The sequence below is a fragment of the Homo sapiens genome, chromosome 8, assembly GCF_000001405.40.
Source record: "Homo sapiens chromosome 8, GRCh38.p14 Primary Assembly".
In the NCBI taxonomy this organism is placed as follows: Eukaryota; Metazoa; Chordata; class Mammalia; order Primates; family Hominidae; genus Homo; species Homo sapiens.
Genome location: NC_000008.11, coordinates 12,964,176 through 12,979,947, shown reverse-complemented (window position 1 = coordinate 12,979,947; position 15,772 = coordinate 12,964,176). Strand labels below are relative to the sequence as shown.

General features: G+C 43.2%; 1 protein-coding gene across 1 annotated transcript in view, besides 2 other annotated features; it reads right to left on the bottom strand.

Moving 5' to 3' along the window:
- TRMT9B (tRNA methyltransferase 9B (putative)) overlaps positions 1-15,772 on the bottom strand; it is an 84,105-nt gene that overhangs the window by 49,830 nt on the left and 18,503 nt on the right. The gene's annotated exons all lie outside the window — the stretch shown is intronic.
- Positions 2,779-3,366: an enhancer, noted in NCBI's record as "OCT4-NANOG-H3K27ac hESC enhancer chr8:12834091-12834678 (GRCh37/hg19 assembly coordinates)". NCBI's record gives its function as "activates a minimal SCP1, AML or CMV promoter by ChIP-STARR-seq in naive H9 embryonic stem cells {active_cell/tissue: H9 hESC(naive)}" and the evidence as "EXISTENCE:reporter gene assay evidence [ECO:0000049][PMID:30033119]".
- Positions 7,123-7,642: an enhancer, noted in NCBI's record as "H3K4me1 hESC enhancer chr8:12829815-12830334 (GRCh37/hg19 assembly coordinates)". NCBI's record gives its function as "activates a minimal SCP1, AML or CMV promoter by ChIP-STARR-seq in naive H9 embryonic stem cells {active_cell/tissue: H9 hESC(naive)}" and the evidence as "EXISTENCE:reporter gene assay evidence [ECO:0000049][PMID:30033119]".

Below are 15,772 nucleotides of genomic sequence, written 5' to 3'. Positions count from 1 at the left end.
CACTAAAAGGGGCCCTTGTCCTTCTCAGACGATCAGGGTTCAAACCCATTTTCCAGCCGAGGTTCTCTTGATTCTGTACAGTCCCTACTGTATTCCAGAAAATGTTTTCTCTGCTTAAGATATCCAGAATTCCTTTCTGTTGCCTGCAATTCACAATTTTAACTAAATTTTAAAAAATGTGTTGGTCATTGTTCCGGCCATTCCAAGATAAATATGAAGATTCTGAAAAACATCATTAAGTCCAGAATGGGACTCTGACAACCAATGGTGTACGGTAGCAGAAAGCTCATTAACTAATCACCTGTAGTTGCAGGAATTAGGTACCCAAGTAGGGCAAGGCTTTGGGAGTTAACATCGTTCTCACTGGAGAATGCTACCAAGGGCATGAGGAATTCAAGAAGGCAGGAAGGCATTTGAATGAGCTTAAGAAAAAAGAAACACAAACCTTTATTTTTTTATTTTTTTTTATTTTGAGATGGAGTCTTATCCTGTCGCCCAGCCTGGAGTGCAGTGGCATGATATTGGCTCACTGCAACCTCCCATTTAATTCTTAACTCGACACAGGCTTGATTGTCTTATCTCTTGAAGCTGTAGTGCTAAGGCAGCTGAAATATAAACTCTAGGTTACTGAGAATCTATAGGCTGCCAAATTACTTGAATTCACAGCCTCCCCACATACTTTATGCGAAAGTCAGGGCATTGCCTGCAGGGGTCAAAACTGGGCCCTGAGAACAGGAATGAGAATTTTTGGATGCAGCACTAGGTCACTCCCCTGAAAAGGACAACGCTTACTTCCTCATAGGCCTGCCATTCCCCCGCCAGAGGGAGTTTCCTGTAAGAGGGAGAGAGCTCAGCCCATTCCACACCACCACGTTCCCTCCCCTTCTCAGTGTCCCCAAGTCTGTAACTGGCCACTTTCCTGCATGTTCCAGAGAAAAAATATTACAAAGTCAAACCCAGAAGGTTTACACACCAGAAGATTTACAGCCCATTGAATTTAGAAGGCAAAGATCTGGGGTAAGTATCCACGCATACAGATTCTGCAGGTGACTGCCAAAGAGAGAGAAATGTAATTATAGACTATATTGAGTTTATTAACATGGGTGAGCTTACCAGGGAGTCTGGACTCCACGTGCCAACCTGGGCGACTGAATGCAGTTCTAGGAGCTTGCTCATCTGTCAAATCAAAACCTGGACTCAGTGGTGGCCTAACCAGAGTTGAGACGCTGTGTATGTCTTGGTTAAAGATAACTAAGGTGTAGCAAGTAGGCCTGTTTCATGCCCTGCAGTGGCTACTATATTGGCTGGTTAGTGACACAGAAACAATCTGGAGAAGAGTCATATAAATGAACTTCTCAGAATTGCTCATAGTGCAAGAATCTATCTATCTATCTATCTATCTATCTATCTATCTATCTATCTATCTATCATCTATCTATCATCTGTCTATCTCTCTGTCGCGGGTTAGCAGCAACTGTCTGGGCCAGTGATGCAGGGGTAAACAAATGTACCAAGACAGTTGTAGGTAAAGAAAAGCAGATTTATTAGAGAAAGTTGGAAAATATGTTGCCAGGTTGCAATGGGCACAATCAGCAGAAGAGGAGCTGACTGCCAGGAAACAAAGGCTTGCTGGAGATTTTATAGAATGGTTCTTGGGCTGATCGATAATGCCAAGGTAGCAGGGAGCTCACCTGCATTCTCCTGTCAGCCAAGGAGCTTGATGATAAATCGAAGTGTTTGATGATGAGCAGGAAGTTTGTGAGTTATGCACATTATTTGCTCAGGAGGCCTATATTCCTGGGCCATGAAGAAAGGCAGATCTATAGCTTATTTGCTTTCTCTCTTCGCTTTCCCCTGGTCCTTTCAGCCTGACTCCTTTTCCCTAATTAAGACTCCACACTATCCATCTACTTTTTTTGGAGACAGGGTCTCGCTCTGTCATGCAGGCTCGAGTGCAGTGGTACAGTCGCAGCTCACTGCAGCCTTGACCTCCCAGGCTCAAGCAGTCTTCCCACCTCAGCCTCCCTAGTAGATGGGACTAAAGGCACATGCCACGGCACCTGGCTAATGTTTTTGTATTTTTTTCTTTTTTTTTTGTAGAGATAGGGTCTTGCTATATTGCCCAGGCTGGTCTCGAACTCCTGGCCTCAAGCCATCCTCCTGCCCCAGCCTCCCAAAGTGTTGAGATTACAGACATGAGCCACTGCACCCAGCTGCAAGAATATAGTTTGTTTGTTTGTTTGTTTTTGAGACAGAGTCTTGCTCTGTCACAAGGCTGGAATGCAGTTGCGTGATCTCAGCTCACTGCAACCTCTGCCTCCCGTGTTCAAGTGATTCTCCTGCCTCAGCCTCCCAAGTAGCTGGGATTATAGGCATGTGCCACCACGCCCAGCTAATTTTTGTATTTTTAGTAGAGATGGGGTTTCATCATGTTGGCCGGGATGGTCTCGATTTCTCGACCTCGTGATCCACCCACCTCAGCCTCCCAAAGTGCTGGGATTACAGATGTGAGCACCCACGCCCGGCCAAGAATATTTTTAACTCAAGAAAATAAGATGGTCATGGTGACTTCCTTGCTTGACACTCTAGGGCTTGCTCCACTGGGGTCGTGAACAGGTTGACGGTTATCTGTGTGCACAGTAACACATTCCTCTCCTCTCCAGGCTGATCTTGTGATTGGCACTGCTGAGTGCTCCATCGACCAGCATTAGTAATAAACCCTGAGCCCATGGCATTATGCAAAGCTTCAAGGGAATCAGCCATCTGTCTGACAGCAGGCTGATTGTCTGGGGTCACCTTCCAACCTGGAGAGGGCAGCAACTGGAGAGGGATTCAATAGAGTAGACATTTAATCTGCATTTGAATTTTCTCTTTGCCCACCATGCTTCTATTTGCAACACCATCTGCTAGCAGCACCTCCAGGAGGCTCTCCAAGGAAGTTTCTTTGCCCTCAGGCCTCCATCTGGGGCATGAGCAGGCATAGGCAGGATTTGGGAGGAGGCAGCAGGAGCAGAGGTCAAGTTAATGTATTACCCCAACTCCCTCCCAGATAGGTCTGGGTTGAACAATGGCTTTGTCCTTTGCCTGCAGGTCAGAGCTGATGCTGGGCAGCTCTTTCCTGGGTTTAAAGTCATGCCAAGTTCTGGAATCCAGTCTTTCCGCTTTCCCTTTCAGGCTAAGGATGGTAATCCTGTCAGTGCTAACCCCAGGATGCTTTGCCATCCCTGGTTAGTTTTCTTAACCTTGCTGACACTTTGTGAACGGGCCTTTTACTAAACTCTCTTCAGTAACATCTTTTGAATATGCCACTTTTTACAGAAATCTGTACTGATATGTTATTTTTATTTTATTTTTTATTTTTTGTATTTTTAGTAGAGACAGGGTTTTACTATATTACCCAGGCTGGTCTCAAACTCCTGACCTCAAGTGATCCGCCCGCTTCTGCCTCCCAAAGTGCTGAGATTATAGGCACGAGCCACTGCACCCGGCCCATATGCTATGTTAATGTAACTAATATATAGTATCTCACACAACGTTGCTGCTGACCAAGAAATTCACTTTATAGTGAAAAAAAAAAAAGTAAAGCATAAACAATGCCCTATTACTAATCCTACCATGTCTTCCTCACCTAAAAATCCCTTGCCTTTTACGATGGTGAAATGGTCTCTAAAAGGCTCAGTTAAGCTGCATGTGGAAAATCTTCGGAGCTGGGAAAGTGGCTTTGTTATACATAGACCTCCCAAAGGAGAACTAGGGCAGGTGCCGAGGGTGGCAGCAGGAGCTCAGCAGTGGCACTGGGTCCTGGTCCGACTGACTGTTGTACCTAAGACTCTTGGCATGGTGGAGCTTCCCTGGGGCACATTTATTTTCCAAGTCTAGTTCTCTGGCTTTCTATGTCCTTCATATTTCAATAAATTCCTGATCAGTCCAAAGATCACGAGTCAGTTTCTGTTGCTTGTAATCAGCAACCATGGCTCATATAGAACTGAGAAAATATTATCGTATTCATTTGTTGATGCTTGTTTATTGCCCCCAACTTTTACTCTTTATGGACAATGACCATACGTGTCTCATCTCTTTATCCGTAATGTCTGTCACCATATCTGGCAAATATGGTGGTGGTGGATTATCATCAATTGAAGGAATGAATGCCCCCAAATAGCTAGAAGCATCAATTTATTTATTTTTATTTTTATTTTTATTTTTATTTTTGAGACAGTCTTGCTCTGTCGCCCACACTGGAGTGCAGTGGCACCATCTCGGCTCACTGCTACCTCCACCTCACGGGTTCAAAGGATTCTCAGACCTTAGCTTCCAAAGTAGCTGGGATTACAGACACATGCCACCATACCCAGCTAATTTTTTGTATTTTTAATAGAGACTCGGTTTCGCCATGTTGGCCAGGCTGGTCTCGAACTCCTGGCCTCAAGTGATCTGCTTGCCTCAGCCTCCCAAAGTGCTGGGATTACAGGCATAAGCTACTGTACCTCCCCTAGAAACATCAATTTAAAAGCTTTTTTTTTTCTTTCCTGCTACTTTTAGAAGAAAGGAGCAATTAATAAGTTCTAAATTTTATTCTGGGGTCAGTCTATATATGTTCAACAATTACATGATCAACAAAATATTTGTTATCTATATCAAGTATATCGTTCAGGGGAGTGGACCATTTTGATTCCCATGGGCTTATACCAGCAAATCTACTAATCTATTTGTATCTCTTCTCATATACTCTTTCTTCCTGGAAGAGAGATGAGGATGAACTATCTGTACTTCTATAATACAAACCCTCCTAGCCGTACATGGAATCCTATGTTCTGGACAATTAACAGCTTCTCTCCTGTAATTTTCTTCTCTCTCTTCTCAATCATCGATTTTCCCCATTAGTGTAAAAATACACTTCAATATCTCAACTAAAAAAAAAAAAAACTGCTTATGTATGACCACAGACCATGATCCAGTCTCAACCCTAACTTCCCTGCTTCCTTTTATGGCAAAGTTCTTTCACAAATAATGCTGCTGCCTCTATTTGTTGGTTTTCCTTTGATCTGAAAACTTTAGCTTTATGATCTTTTAGGGGATCATAAAACACCTGTCAACCTCAGGCGTGAAGAGCTGCACCTAGCAAGCTGTGTAACCAAGTGAGCTACTTTAAAAAAACAAAACAAAACAAAACCCTGCCTGCTGCTGTCCCGCCTCCTGTCCCTTTTCATGCAAGAGAAGTGAAATGCTTTTATTTTACAAATAATGCAGTCGTTTACTTTTCATCAACCTCACAACATTACTTTCACTGCAACGCAGGCAGTACTCCAGACTGCCACGTTTTGCTTCCAGCCTTCATCGCCACTTGAAACATCTATTGGCCAACCTGTTGTCTGGAACGAGGCAGGACTTGTAGGTGACTTCATATCCCTGGAAACTTATTCTGTTGGGGCTCATTCTTCCATTGCCCTTGAATGAAATTCAGGCAGGCCCACAGATTTTTCATAAATTTCAATAGTAAGTAAATGCTCTCCAGGTCACAAAACGTTCTCACTTCTGAAATTGATTCCCCGTCCAGTGTAAAATCCAGGCTCCACGTTTCATCACCATTTGAAACTTCTCATCTCCAGCTTGGACCTGCTGCTATCAAGAAGCTTGCAGTGGGAAAGGTGGTTTCTTCTCTTGTTGCATCCTTCACTCCCAACTCAGTAGTTAATGGGACAGGGTCACGGTGGTGGTGAAGGGAGCCGGCAAGGAGAGGTTAGGGAGCCAGAAAAGTCCTTTTCTTTTCTTTTTTAAGGGACAGGGTCTTGCTTGTCACCCAGGCTGGAGAGCATCGGTGCGATCTTGGCTCACTGAAGCCTTGAATTCCTGGGCTCAAGCCATCCTCCCGCCTCAGCCTTCTGAGTAGCTGGGACTACAAGTGCTTGCCACTATGCCTAGCTTTTTAAAAAAAAAATTTTAATATATTTTTGGAGATGACATCTCACTATAATGCTCAGGCTGGTCTGAAACTCCTGGCCTTAAGCGATCCTCCCATCTCAGCCTCCCAAAGTACTAGGATTACAGGTATGAGCCACCGCATATGGCCAAAATGTTCTTTTCGACTGGCACTGGCGTGAACTGAGTTCAGTGATCTCTGGGCACGGTGGGAACTAAAGGCTGTTCTCATTCATGAAGTGTTTTGTGGATCTCATGGAATCTTTCACTGGCTCTGTGCAGACGCTTATGGCTGAAGTCCTTTCACCAGCAGTTTTCTGAAACGGATAATCCACCGTCCTGCTGGCTGCCTATGACAGTTCCATGTCATCCACCCCTACACCTCCAACATGTTTCACCCGCCATCTCTTCACCTCTCCAGATGAGATCCTAGCCAATGCCACCTGTCTTTCGTGGCCCACATCTAGTCCAAGGAAAACAAGTGCCTTTGTTCTCTCTTCAGTGAAAGTAGCAGTTACTTCCCAAGCAATACCCACTCTCTGCTGCCATAGATTGCTTCTACCAGCCTTTAGATTTTTTCAGGCATAGCTTGGTCCAGACCACTGTGTCTGAGATCTCATCTGCAGTGGCACATATCCAGCTTTCTGTGTGGTCCTCCTGAAGCCCCTGTCACTTGACTTGAGGATGGGGAGAAATACCTTCTCTTCTCCCACGATGCTGTGCATGTGCTGGCAAGGGAAGGGGCACCCAGAGCATGCCAAAAAAAATCTTCCTAAATACGTCTTCTCCCCAGTGTCCAACTGGGCGTTGGACTAAGGGTCACAAAACCAGATTTCATATTATTCAGCCTTAAAAAGCAATGCAATTCTGACACATGCCACAAACACGGATAAACCCGGAAGACATTATGCTCAGTGAAATAAGCCAGACATGAAAGGACAAACACTGCATGACTCCACTCATGTGAGGTTCCTGGAACAGTCAGCTACATAGAGACAGAAAGCAGAATGGTGGCTCCCAGGGCCTGGGGAGTCAGGGTAAAAGGGGCTTAGTGTTTAAATGGCCTGGAGGTTCACTTTGGGAAGATGAAAAAGTTCTGACGATGGATCATAGTGATGGTTGCACAAGACTGTTAATGTATTTAACGCCCCTGAGTTATATAATTAAAAATGGTTAAATGGTCGTTTTTATATTATGCATATTTTACCACAATAAAAAACATTTCAGTCATTTCTTCTGCAAGTCCTGCTGAGGTAGTCTAGCAACTAGCTTCAGAACATGAGAGTCATTGTCACCTAGCGTATTTGGGACCATGCCTGTTATCAAGCCATTGTCTCTCCCCTCCAAACACTCCCTCCTACACACCGCTTTGTGTGGAGAGGGCGGGACTCTGTAAACAGCACTGCTAGTTTACTAAGTGTCTCTGCTGACAAGGGGACACCATAGGGAGCCTGGAAGGACAGGGTGGGAGAGGGGACCGGCTCCTCTCTGTTTGCTTCCTGTTCCTGCCAGAGTTGGCCAGCAACAGCCCTTCACCCTGGCAGCGGCATTTGTTTCCAATAGGAGTCGGTTAGTTTCCAGTTTCTTTCACTTTCCCAGGACTAGCTCTTTTGCACACCCCTAAAAGACACCTCGCCCACAAGCAAGTCTCCTCCCAAGAGATCTGCCTCCCAACTCCTCAGGGACTCTCCTCTGAGCTCTCAAAGTCTCCGCACCAGCCGGCCAGCCCCGCCTCCACGGGAGTCTGGGTCCCAGCTCTGGGGACCCCTCGTCCAAGCTTCTAGGTTCTGAGAAGCTCATTTTCTTCTCTTTGTCCTCTCAGCACAGGGGCAGCTGCTTCCTGCTGTTGTTCTTGCCATCCTGCCTCATTTGTTCCCTCTTTGCATTGCTTGTCCTCTAATATCTGTCTAATCAATTCCTTATATTAAATTTTCTCTGTTAACATAACTGATGGGGTTTTCCCTCCCAGACTCTACCTAACACTGCTGTATTTTTGCGCTATTGTGCAAAACATGAAAACAATAAAGAGTTTCTTTTCAGTATTTGGCTAGAGTTATTTATGGCTTGTCTCTCCCAGTGAGTTTATAAATTCCATGAAATTAGGGTTTTTTTTGGTTCACTGATGCTATGTTCTGCATTCTAAACATGGCCTGGCCCAAAGCAGGCACCCAATCATATCTGTTGGACAAATAAATAGGAAATATTTAAACACTAAAAAAGCAATTTTGGTCATGAAAATATGCTTATAATATGTAAAAGCGATAACCACATCTAAATATATTCGGAGGAAAATAAGTAGCTGAACTCTCTTTTTCTGAAATTTTTAGCAATATCCATTTTCTGCTTTCCCTGCCCCCCATTTTCTTGTTTGCTAATTTTTGTCAGTACTGTTTCTCCATCTTTTTCTTGCAGATTAGGGCAAGTTATCCACAAGATAGTCATTCAGCCAGCAAAATACTTTTTAATGTCAACTGTATACTGGATATCGCACTAGATGCTGCAATGACAAGTTCATTTTAAATCCAGCTAATACACAATTTGAAGTCGGAACACCAATACAATATGTTAAACCTCACAAAGAAAACTTCAAAAGTAGAACTCAGAGGATTTCATTATTATGAAAAAATGCTGTACCGGGAGAACCCTGAGGTCACAGGCCCAGGCCCGCCGTTCCCTGGCAAAGTCACCTTGAGCAAAATATTTAGCTTCTCTGGGTACATGCTCTTTCCTCTTAGAAATAAAGAAATATCAAAATGAAAAACAAAACAAAAAAAGAAAAAAATTGAAAAAAGGGGAAACAAAAAGAAAGAAAAATAAATAAATACCAGTATTTGATAATACAGCAGGGAAACGACAGTTAACAAAACTTTATTGTCTATTTCAAAATAGCTACAAGAACTGCAATGTTCCCAAGGCAAAGATACATGTTTGAGGTGACGGTATGCAAATTACTCAGATTAATCATCACATATTGTATACATGTGTCAAAATAGCACATGTACCCCAAAATATGTACAACTATGATACATCATTTAAAAATGCAAAAAATGAAGAAATACAGATACTTTCTAAAGTGCCTCTCCTCTTTTAAGACTGAGCCTTCATAGAGAAATGTGTTTTAACATCCCCCAAATCACAACAGAACTTTCGAGCATTGGCAGCCAATATGCAGACTTGAATTTCTTCTTATCACAGTTCCCAAACGTGTTACCCTGTACAGACTAAGAGGCTAGAAAGACATGAAGTGAGTGACAGGAAGCCAAAAGTGTCATAAAAAGCCTTGGTGCCAATTCCTAATTCCACTTCCAAATAAAATTGTGATTTTCTGTAGTGATACTTTTTAAACTTGGCTGGATATTTTTAGGACCTTAATCCATGGAATAGTATTAATATTGACAGCTGCATTAACCATCTCACACATTTGAATACATTGCAAGCCTCAAAAAAGGTCAGCACAGCCGGCTCATCTCTTTCACTGATGTAAATCTGTAGGACCGCCCAGAAGGCGTCTGCTCTAGATCTGAACAACGGAGTCCACGTTTACCAAGAGGCCCTGCACCAAGCCATGAAATTGGATTGGAATCATGCAGCAATAAGAAGAGGAAGGCACCTGCCACAATGTGCTCTCTTCACTGTTAGGTTGGGATGGAGAATACTGAATACATGACAACGTAAAAGTTGGGCAAATGCTACTTTGAAAATAAGAGTGAATAAATGAGGAGAAATAGGCTTACATAAAAAACAGGACCAAAAGTTCATGGACAGTGAAGGAAGGCACTGGTCTGTTTAATAACAACAGATGTCTACAAGCTAACGAAGTAAATTTGTTTTTTGTTTCAAATATTTTTGTTCACAGAAGTGAAACACTTTGCACATACCTGGAAGAAAACCAGGTGGTATTGGTGTTATCACCAGGTGAGGGGCTAAAGTTTATTCAGCAACAGTGAGGTCACCAAGGATCTCCAAAAGTTCTGCCTCGTTATGCATGGTTGGCCTTCTGTTTCTGAGTTCCACACGGACCAATCTGACCAACTGTGTATCAAAAATATTTAAAATCAGAATCATGCCTGTAATTCCAGCATTTTGGGAAGCTGAGGTGGGAGGATGGCTTGAGGTCAGTTTGAGACCAGCCTGGGCCACATAGCAAGACCATGTGTCTACAAAAAAAAAAAAAAAAAAAAATTAAAACATTAGCTGGGTGTGGTGGTGCAGGCCTGTAGTCCTAGCTACTTGGGAGGCTTAGGTGGGAGGATTCCTGGAGCCCAGGCACTTGAGGCTGCAATGAGCCGTGATTGTACCAGTGCACTCTACACTCCAGCCTGCGGTATAGAGAGACACTCACTCTCTAAAAAAAGAAGAAAGAAACAATAAAAAGAGAATTTTTAAAAAAGAAAAAATATTAGGAAAAAATAAAAAATAATACAAATAAGAGATACATTATTACAACTACTTAGCACTTACATTGTATTAGGTTATTGCAAGTAATCTAGAGATGATTTAAAATAATGGGAGAATGTACACAGGTTATATGCAAATACTATGCCCTTTTGTATCACAGAGTTGTGCATCCATGAATTTTAGTACAGGGGTGTGGGGGTAGAGTGGGTCCTGGAACCAATCCCCTTTGGATGCAAAGGAGTGACTGGGTGCAATTGTTTACTTACTTATATATACACAATACAGAAACATAGGAAGGTAGATTTACAGGCCTCTGTGAGCCCAAAGGTAGCTAGCACTGTCCCAGAGACTAGGATGGATGGAAACCTGTGTAATGAAGAGACGGTGGGCCTTTCAGTATTTTGTTTGTTTGTTTGTTTGTTTTTAGACACAGTTTCACTCTCTTGCCTAGGCTGGAGTGCAGTGGCGCAATCTCAGCTCACTGCAATCTCCACCTTCCAAGCGATTCTCCTGCCTCAGCCTCCCGAGTAGCTAGAATTACAGGTGCATGCTACCACGCCCGGCCAATATTTTCTATTATTAGTAGAGATGGGGTTTCACCATGTTGATCAGGCTAGCCTCGAACTCCCGACCTCAGGTGATCCACCTGCCTTGGCCTCCCAAAGTGCTGGGATTACAGGCATGAGCCACCTCACCCAGCCCACTTTTCGGTTTTATATAAATATGTGTAAGAGCAGGCTTATGTGACCACTGCCGAAGTCCTGCAAATCTGTTGCTTCTCCATGGGGTGAGTCAGGCCAGGCCTGTGTAGATAATGAACAGCATGGCTCTCTACCCACCATACTGCACCTCTTCTAGTAACTGACCTTGTCAAACAGGACTACACCTCCTGTGAGAGGTAGGGGTGCACTCTCGCGACTCAGGGAGGGGCCTTCTGGACTGCCAGCTGCTCAGGCTGTCCCTCCCACCCTGAGGACTGACTCCTCCCAGAGTAGGGAGTTGAACCTGGAGTCCACGTGGCTATCGGCTCACAGCTCATGCCTCCAAATGTCACTCTCTTAAGATTCCAGTTAACCTGATTGCATTCCATTAAAATGCAGACCACCTATTAGAAAGCATTAAGGGATTTTGGTAATTTATTTAAAACTATGTAGCTCTTCACAACAAATATACCAGAAATTGCTAAAATGTCTGTCACTGGATAATGTCTGTTTATGAAAGGAAAAGTCTCCTTTTACAGCAATTCCAACCAAACAACAAGCCTGAGGCTTTCTAGATTAAAGGGACAGAAACCAGGAAGATCTGCCCACTTCCTCACTCTTCTTGACCTCATCCCCATCACACAGGCCACATGCCCAGAAAGTCATATACTCCTGTAGAACTTTATAGTCCCTTGGGATGTATGTCTTCCGTGACTTGAACAGTATTTCATTTAAAATAGCACTTTTGGCCAGGTGGTGGCTCATGTCTGTAATCCCAGCACTTAGAGAGATCGAGGTGGGTGGATTGCTTAAGCCCAGGAGTTTGAGACCAGCCTGGACAACATGGTGAAATCCCATCTTTACTAAAAATGCAAGAATTAGCTGGGTGTGGTGGTGTGTGCCTGTAGTCCCAGCTGCTCAGGAGGCTGAGGTGAGAGCCCAGTAGGCGGAGGTTGCAGTGAGCCAAGATCGTGCCACTGCACTCCAGCCTGGGCAACAGAGCAAGAGCCTGTCTCAGAAAGTAAATAAGTAAACAAATTAGAAGACTGTTCTCTTTTTTAGCAGCTGTATAATAAGGACCTTCAGCCTGTCCAAAGACATGGGAAAATTAAACTGTTAACAATGCTTCAAAACCCATTTGTTAAGCTTTGTCCCACTGATCACTTTCATACTGACCATCACTATATGCATAAAGATGTATTTAATACTCTCCTGACATTTTAAGTGGATGAGTAATTCTACTATGGAAGTGACTACTCACTTAAAAAGAAAAATTGAAAACTCAGGAGGCTTTGCCATTGTTAATGAGCTGCTTTAATTAGAAAGGATGCATTTAATTATTAGTTCATTGGTGGAGAAAAGCTAAAAACAATCTAATTGAAGAGGGTCTGAGTTGGTCAAATGGTAACTGGAGAATGTCATCCTTTTTAATGTCAACTTTAACCCAAGAAAAATCTCTGGGGTAAACAAATCATCGTTGTCACCATCCCTGCCATTTCGTTATGGTCTGGTGAGGTTCAGTCTTTGTAGGGGAGCTATAGGATGTAGTAGTAGTTCAGAAAAGGATTTTTCTAGACCTATAGTCCCAAAGTCAAGTCTCAGCTGTGCCACTGTCTAGTCCTATGAAATACATTTGTTCCTAAAACCTTTCATGACTTTTTACCTATGCCTTTGTTCAACCCACTGGTATTTAACTTAACTGATCAAAGATTTCTGAACATTGTGCATATCTTTGGATGATCATTTCAGAAAGAGAACAAATTCAGGAGATGACTTACCCAGGATCCTAAAGATATGTCTTGTTTGGACATGAAACTTGTAAAACATTTCTGCTTCTCAATTTGAATTTTGTGTACTGTTAAAAAAATACCTAGGATGTCATTACCTATCCTTCCCACACCTTGGGAGTATTCACCGTCGGTGTCTGTAAGGAAGGTGAGTACTAGAGTACTACCTAGCCCTAAAATGCTTTTGGATTATAATCTCATAATGTAAACATGGAAAGGAACACTGTAAAATGGAAGCAAGGTAGTAAGAATGTGGTAAAGCCGATTTTTTTGCTCCTCTGGGAAAACAAGGCCTGCAGACTTCCCCACTGCACCCAGCTCCTCAACAAACCCTACGAAGCTCAGGTCCCATCTTGAACAGGATGGTTCCCCTAACCCTATGCGCTAGAAATGAGGGTGCTCTGTGAGTTCCCACAGCATCCAGTTCTTACTCTCATACATTGGATGGTATTCATGCTTGCCATCTCCTGTATTAATCAAAGAAGTCCCAGGCTAAATAAATGGGCACTGAACTAAAAATTTAGACCAATTTAAATAAATGCTGTGCCACATGGCTAAACAATAGAAATAGCTGTATTATCATGGAAATCTTTCCAACACATGCTTTTATGTCTATCTAAATAGTCTATAAGTAACACATTTTTTATTGGTAACATAGGAGCTAATTATGACAAAGTATTACAGAACAGCAATGTCTAGCTTGTAAACAACACATCTTTATTGATAACATAGGGGTTATCAATAAAGACGACAAAGTATTATACAGTAGCAATGCTTTCCGGGGTTAACAAAGTGTCTGCATCCACACTAAATGGCACATGGTTGTATCTGTTTGGAGTATTTCTTCCCCCCGCCCACACCCTGAGCACAGAGACAAGGTCTCACTCTGTCACCGAGGCTGGAGTGCAGTAGCTACTGAGTAGCTGGGACCAGAGGTATGGGTCACCATGCCAGGCTACTGTTTTTTTCACTTTCTGTAGAGATGGGGGGGGTCTTACTATGTTGCCCAGGCTGGTCTTGAACTCCTGGGCTCAAGTGATCCTTCTACCTTGGTCTCCCAAAGTGCTCGGATTATAGGTGTACATCACCATGCCTGGCCATGGAGTGCTTCTTTTTTTTTTTTTCTTTTTGAGACAGAGTCTTGCTCTGTCACCCAGGCTGGGGTGCGGTGGCACTATCTTGGCTCACTACTACTTCCGCCTCCCAGGTTCAAGTGGTTCTCCTGCCTCAGCCTCCCGAGTAGCTGGAACTACAGGTGCCCGCCACCACACCCGGCTGATTTTTGTATATTTAGTAGAGATGGGGTTTTGCCATGTTGCCCAGGCTGGTCTTGAACTACTGAGCTCATGCAATCTGCCTGCCTCAGTCTCCCCACATGCTGGGATTACAGGCGTGAGTTGCTGTGCCCCAGCCTGCCCCACCTTGCTGTCGGCTGCCACTTCTCACTCTCATTGTGCCTGTCTCCACAAGCTCCTCCACTTTCTAATTTCCTGCTTGTAGTCTACCTTGGGCTTAAAAAAAAAAAAAATCAGACAACTAAGCCTTTTGGGATCCTATCAAAAATATGAAGAAAAAGACTTTCGGGTCATCAGACAGGTCAGCTTTGGACTAATGAGTTTGGTGACATCCTGTACTGACAGCTCACAGGCCACCTTGGTTCTGGACGGGGATCCGGATGCTGGGGAAGGCTGGCCACACCATGTCTTCTGGCTAAGCCCTTGAGTAGTTGGCCTTCTGATTGCCAGCCTTCTGCTTTTTAGCCAAATCTCCCTGCCACCATCTCTATGCTCTGTGTTCACTGTGATGCTAGCTCTGTTTCTTTCCAACTGAGCTCCTCAATAGCTTGGATTTTGTAGTTCCCTCCAGAGTCTCCGAATCCACACCTGCTTAATACCTACAAAAACCAATTCAGCCATATGGCTTGAATGCTTATATCACACACAGAGGCTTTTGGTTCTGAGTAAGTGCCACGATTATGAAAACTGCACTGAAGCAGGGAATAACACCAGTTGAAAGAATGGCCTCATTTGCAGGCAGCTTGCACTGTATTCTATAAGAATGTGTTTGACATTTTAAGCTTTCCTGTGGCAGCAAATTGTACTTCTTCTAGTGGGAGGGGTTATTAAGTCTGTGACCAGAATAAACCAGACTATTTTGGAAAGTTTAATTTTTTCGGTTTTCATATTCCATTTTATGACTGTGTTTGCTTTTTCAGAGATAAGCCTGTGTGTAAGAAAACAGTCTTATCTCTGAACCAAGCACATGGCTCACACCTGTAATCCCAGCACTTTGGGAGGCCGAACTGGGAGGATCATTTGAGGCCAGGAGTTTGAGACCAGCCTAGGCATCGTAGTGACACCCCATCTTTACAAACAAAACAAACAAACAAACAAACAAAAAACATTAGCCTGGTGTGGTGGCATGCTTATAGTCCAAGTTACTCAGGAGGATAAGGAGGGAAGATCGCTTGAGCCCGGGAGTTTGAGGCTACAATGAGCTGTGACTGTGCCACTGCACTCCAGCCTGAGTGACAGAGAGAGACCCCGTCTCAAAAACAAACGAACAAGCAAAAACAAACAAAAAGCAATTATTTAGAGTTAAAAACTACAAATACTATTTTTTAACCTCAAGGAGTTCTATCATAAACTGCTTTAAAAGTAAAAAACAAATTAAACAGGAATACGGAACTCTGGCTCCAAATTTAAAATTACAAAATAAATAAGACAAAGCATTCGACATGAAGTTCCTGCGGCAGGATGGAAATGTTCTGGTGAGTGGCTATCACACATTTCACAGAAGCTAGGAGGCCATCTATTTTGTAAAATACACAACTATTTTACTTATTGCCAAGAAAGATGAGGATGTGTTATCAACTGTAGGATGTACCCCATGTCAATGATGTTGAAATGTAAAATAATGTTTTTCAAAAAGATGCAATACAATATTTTTGAAAAATAGCTTTAAAAT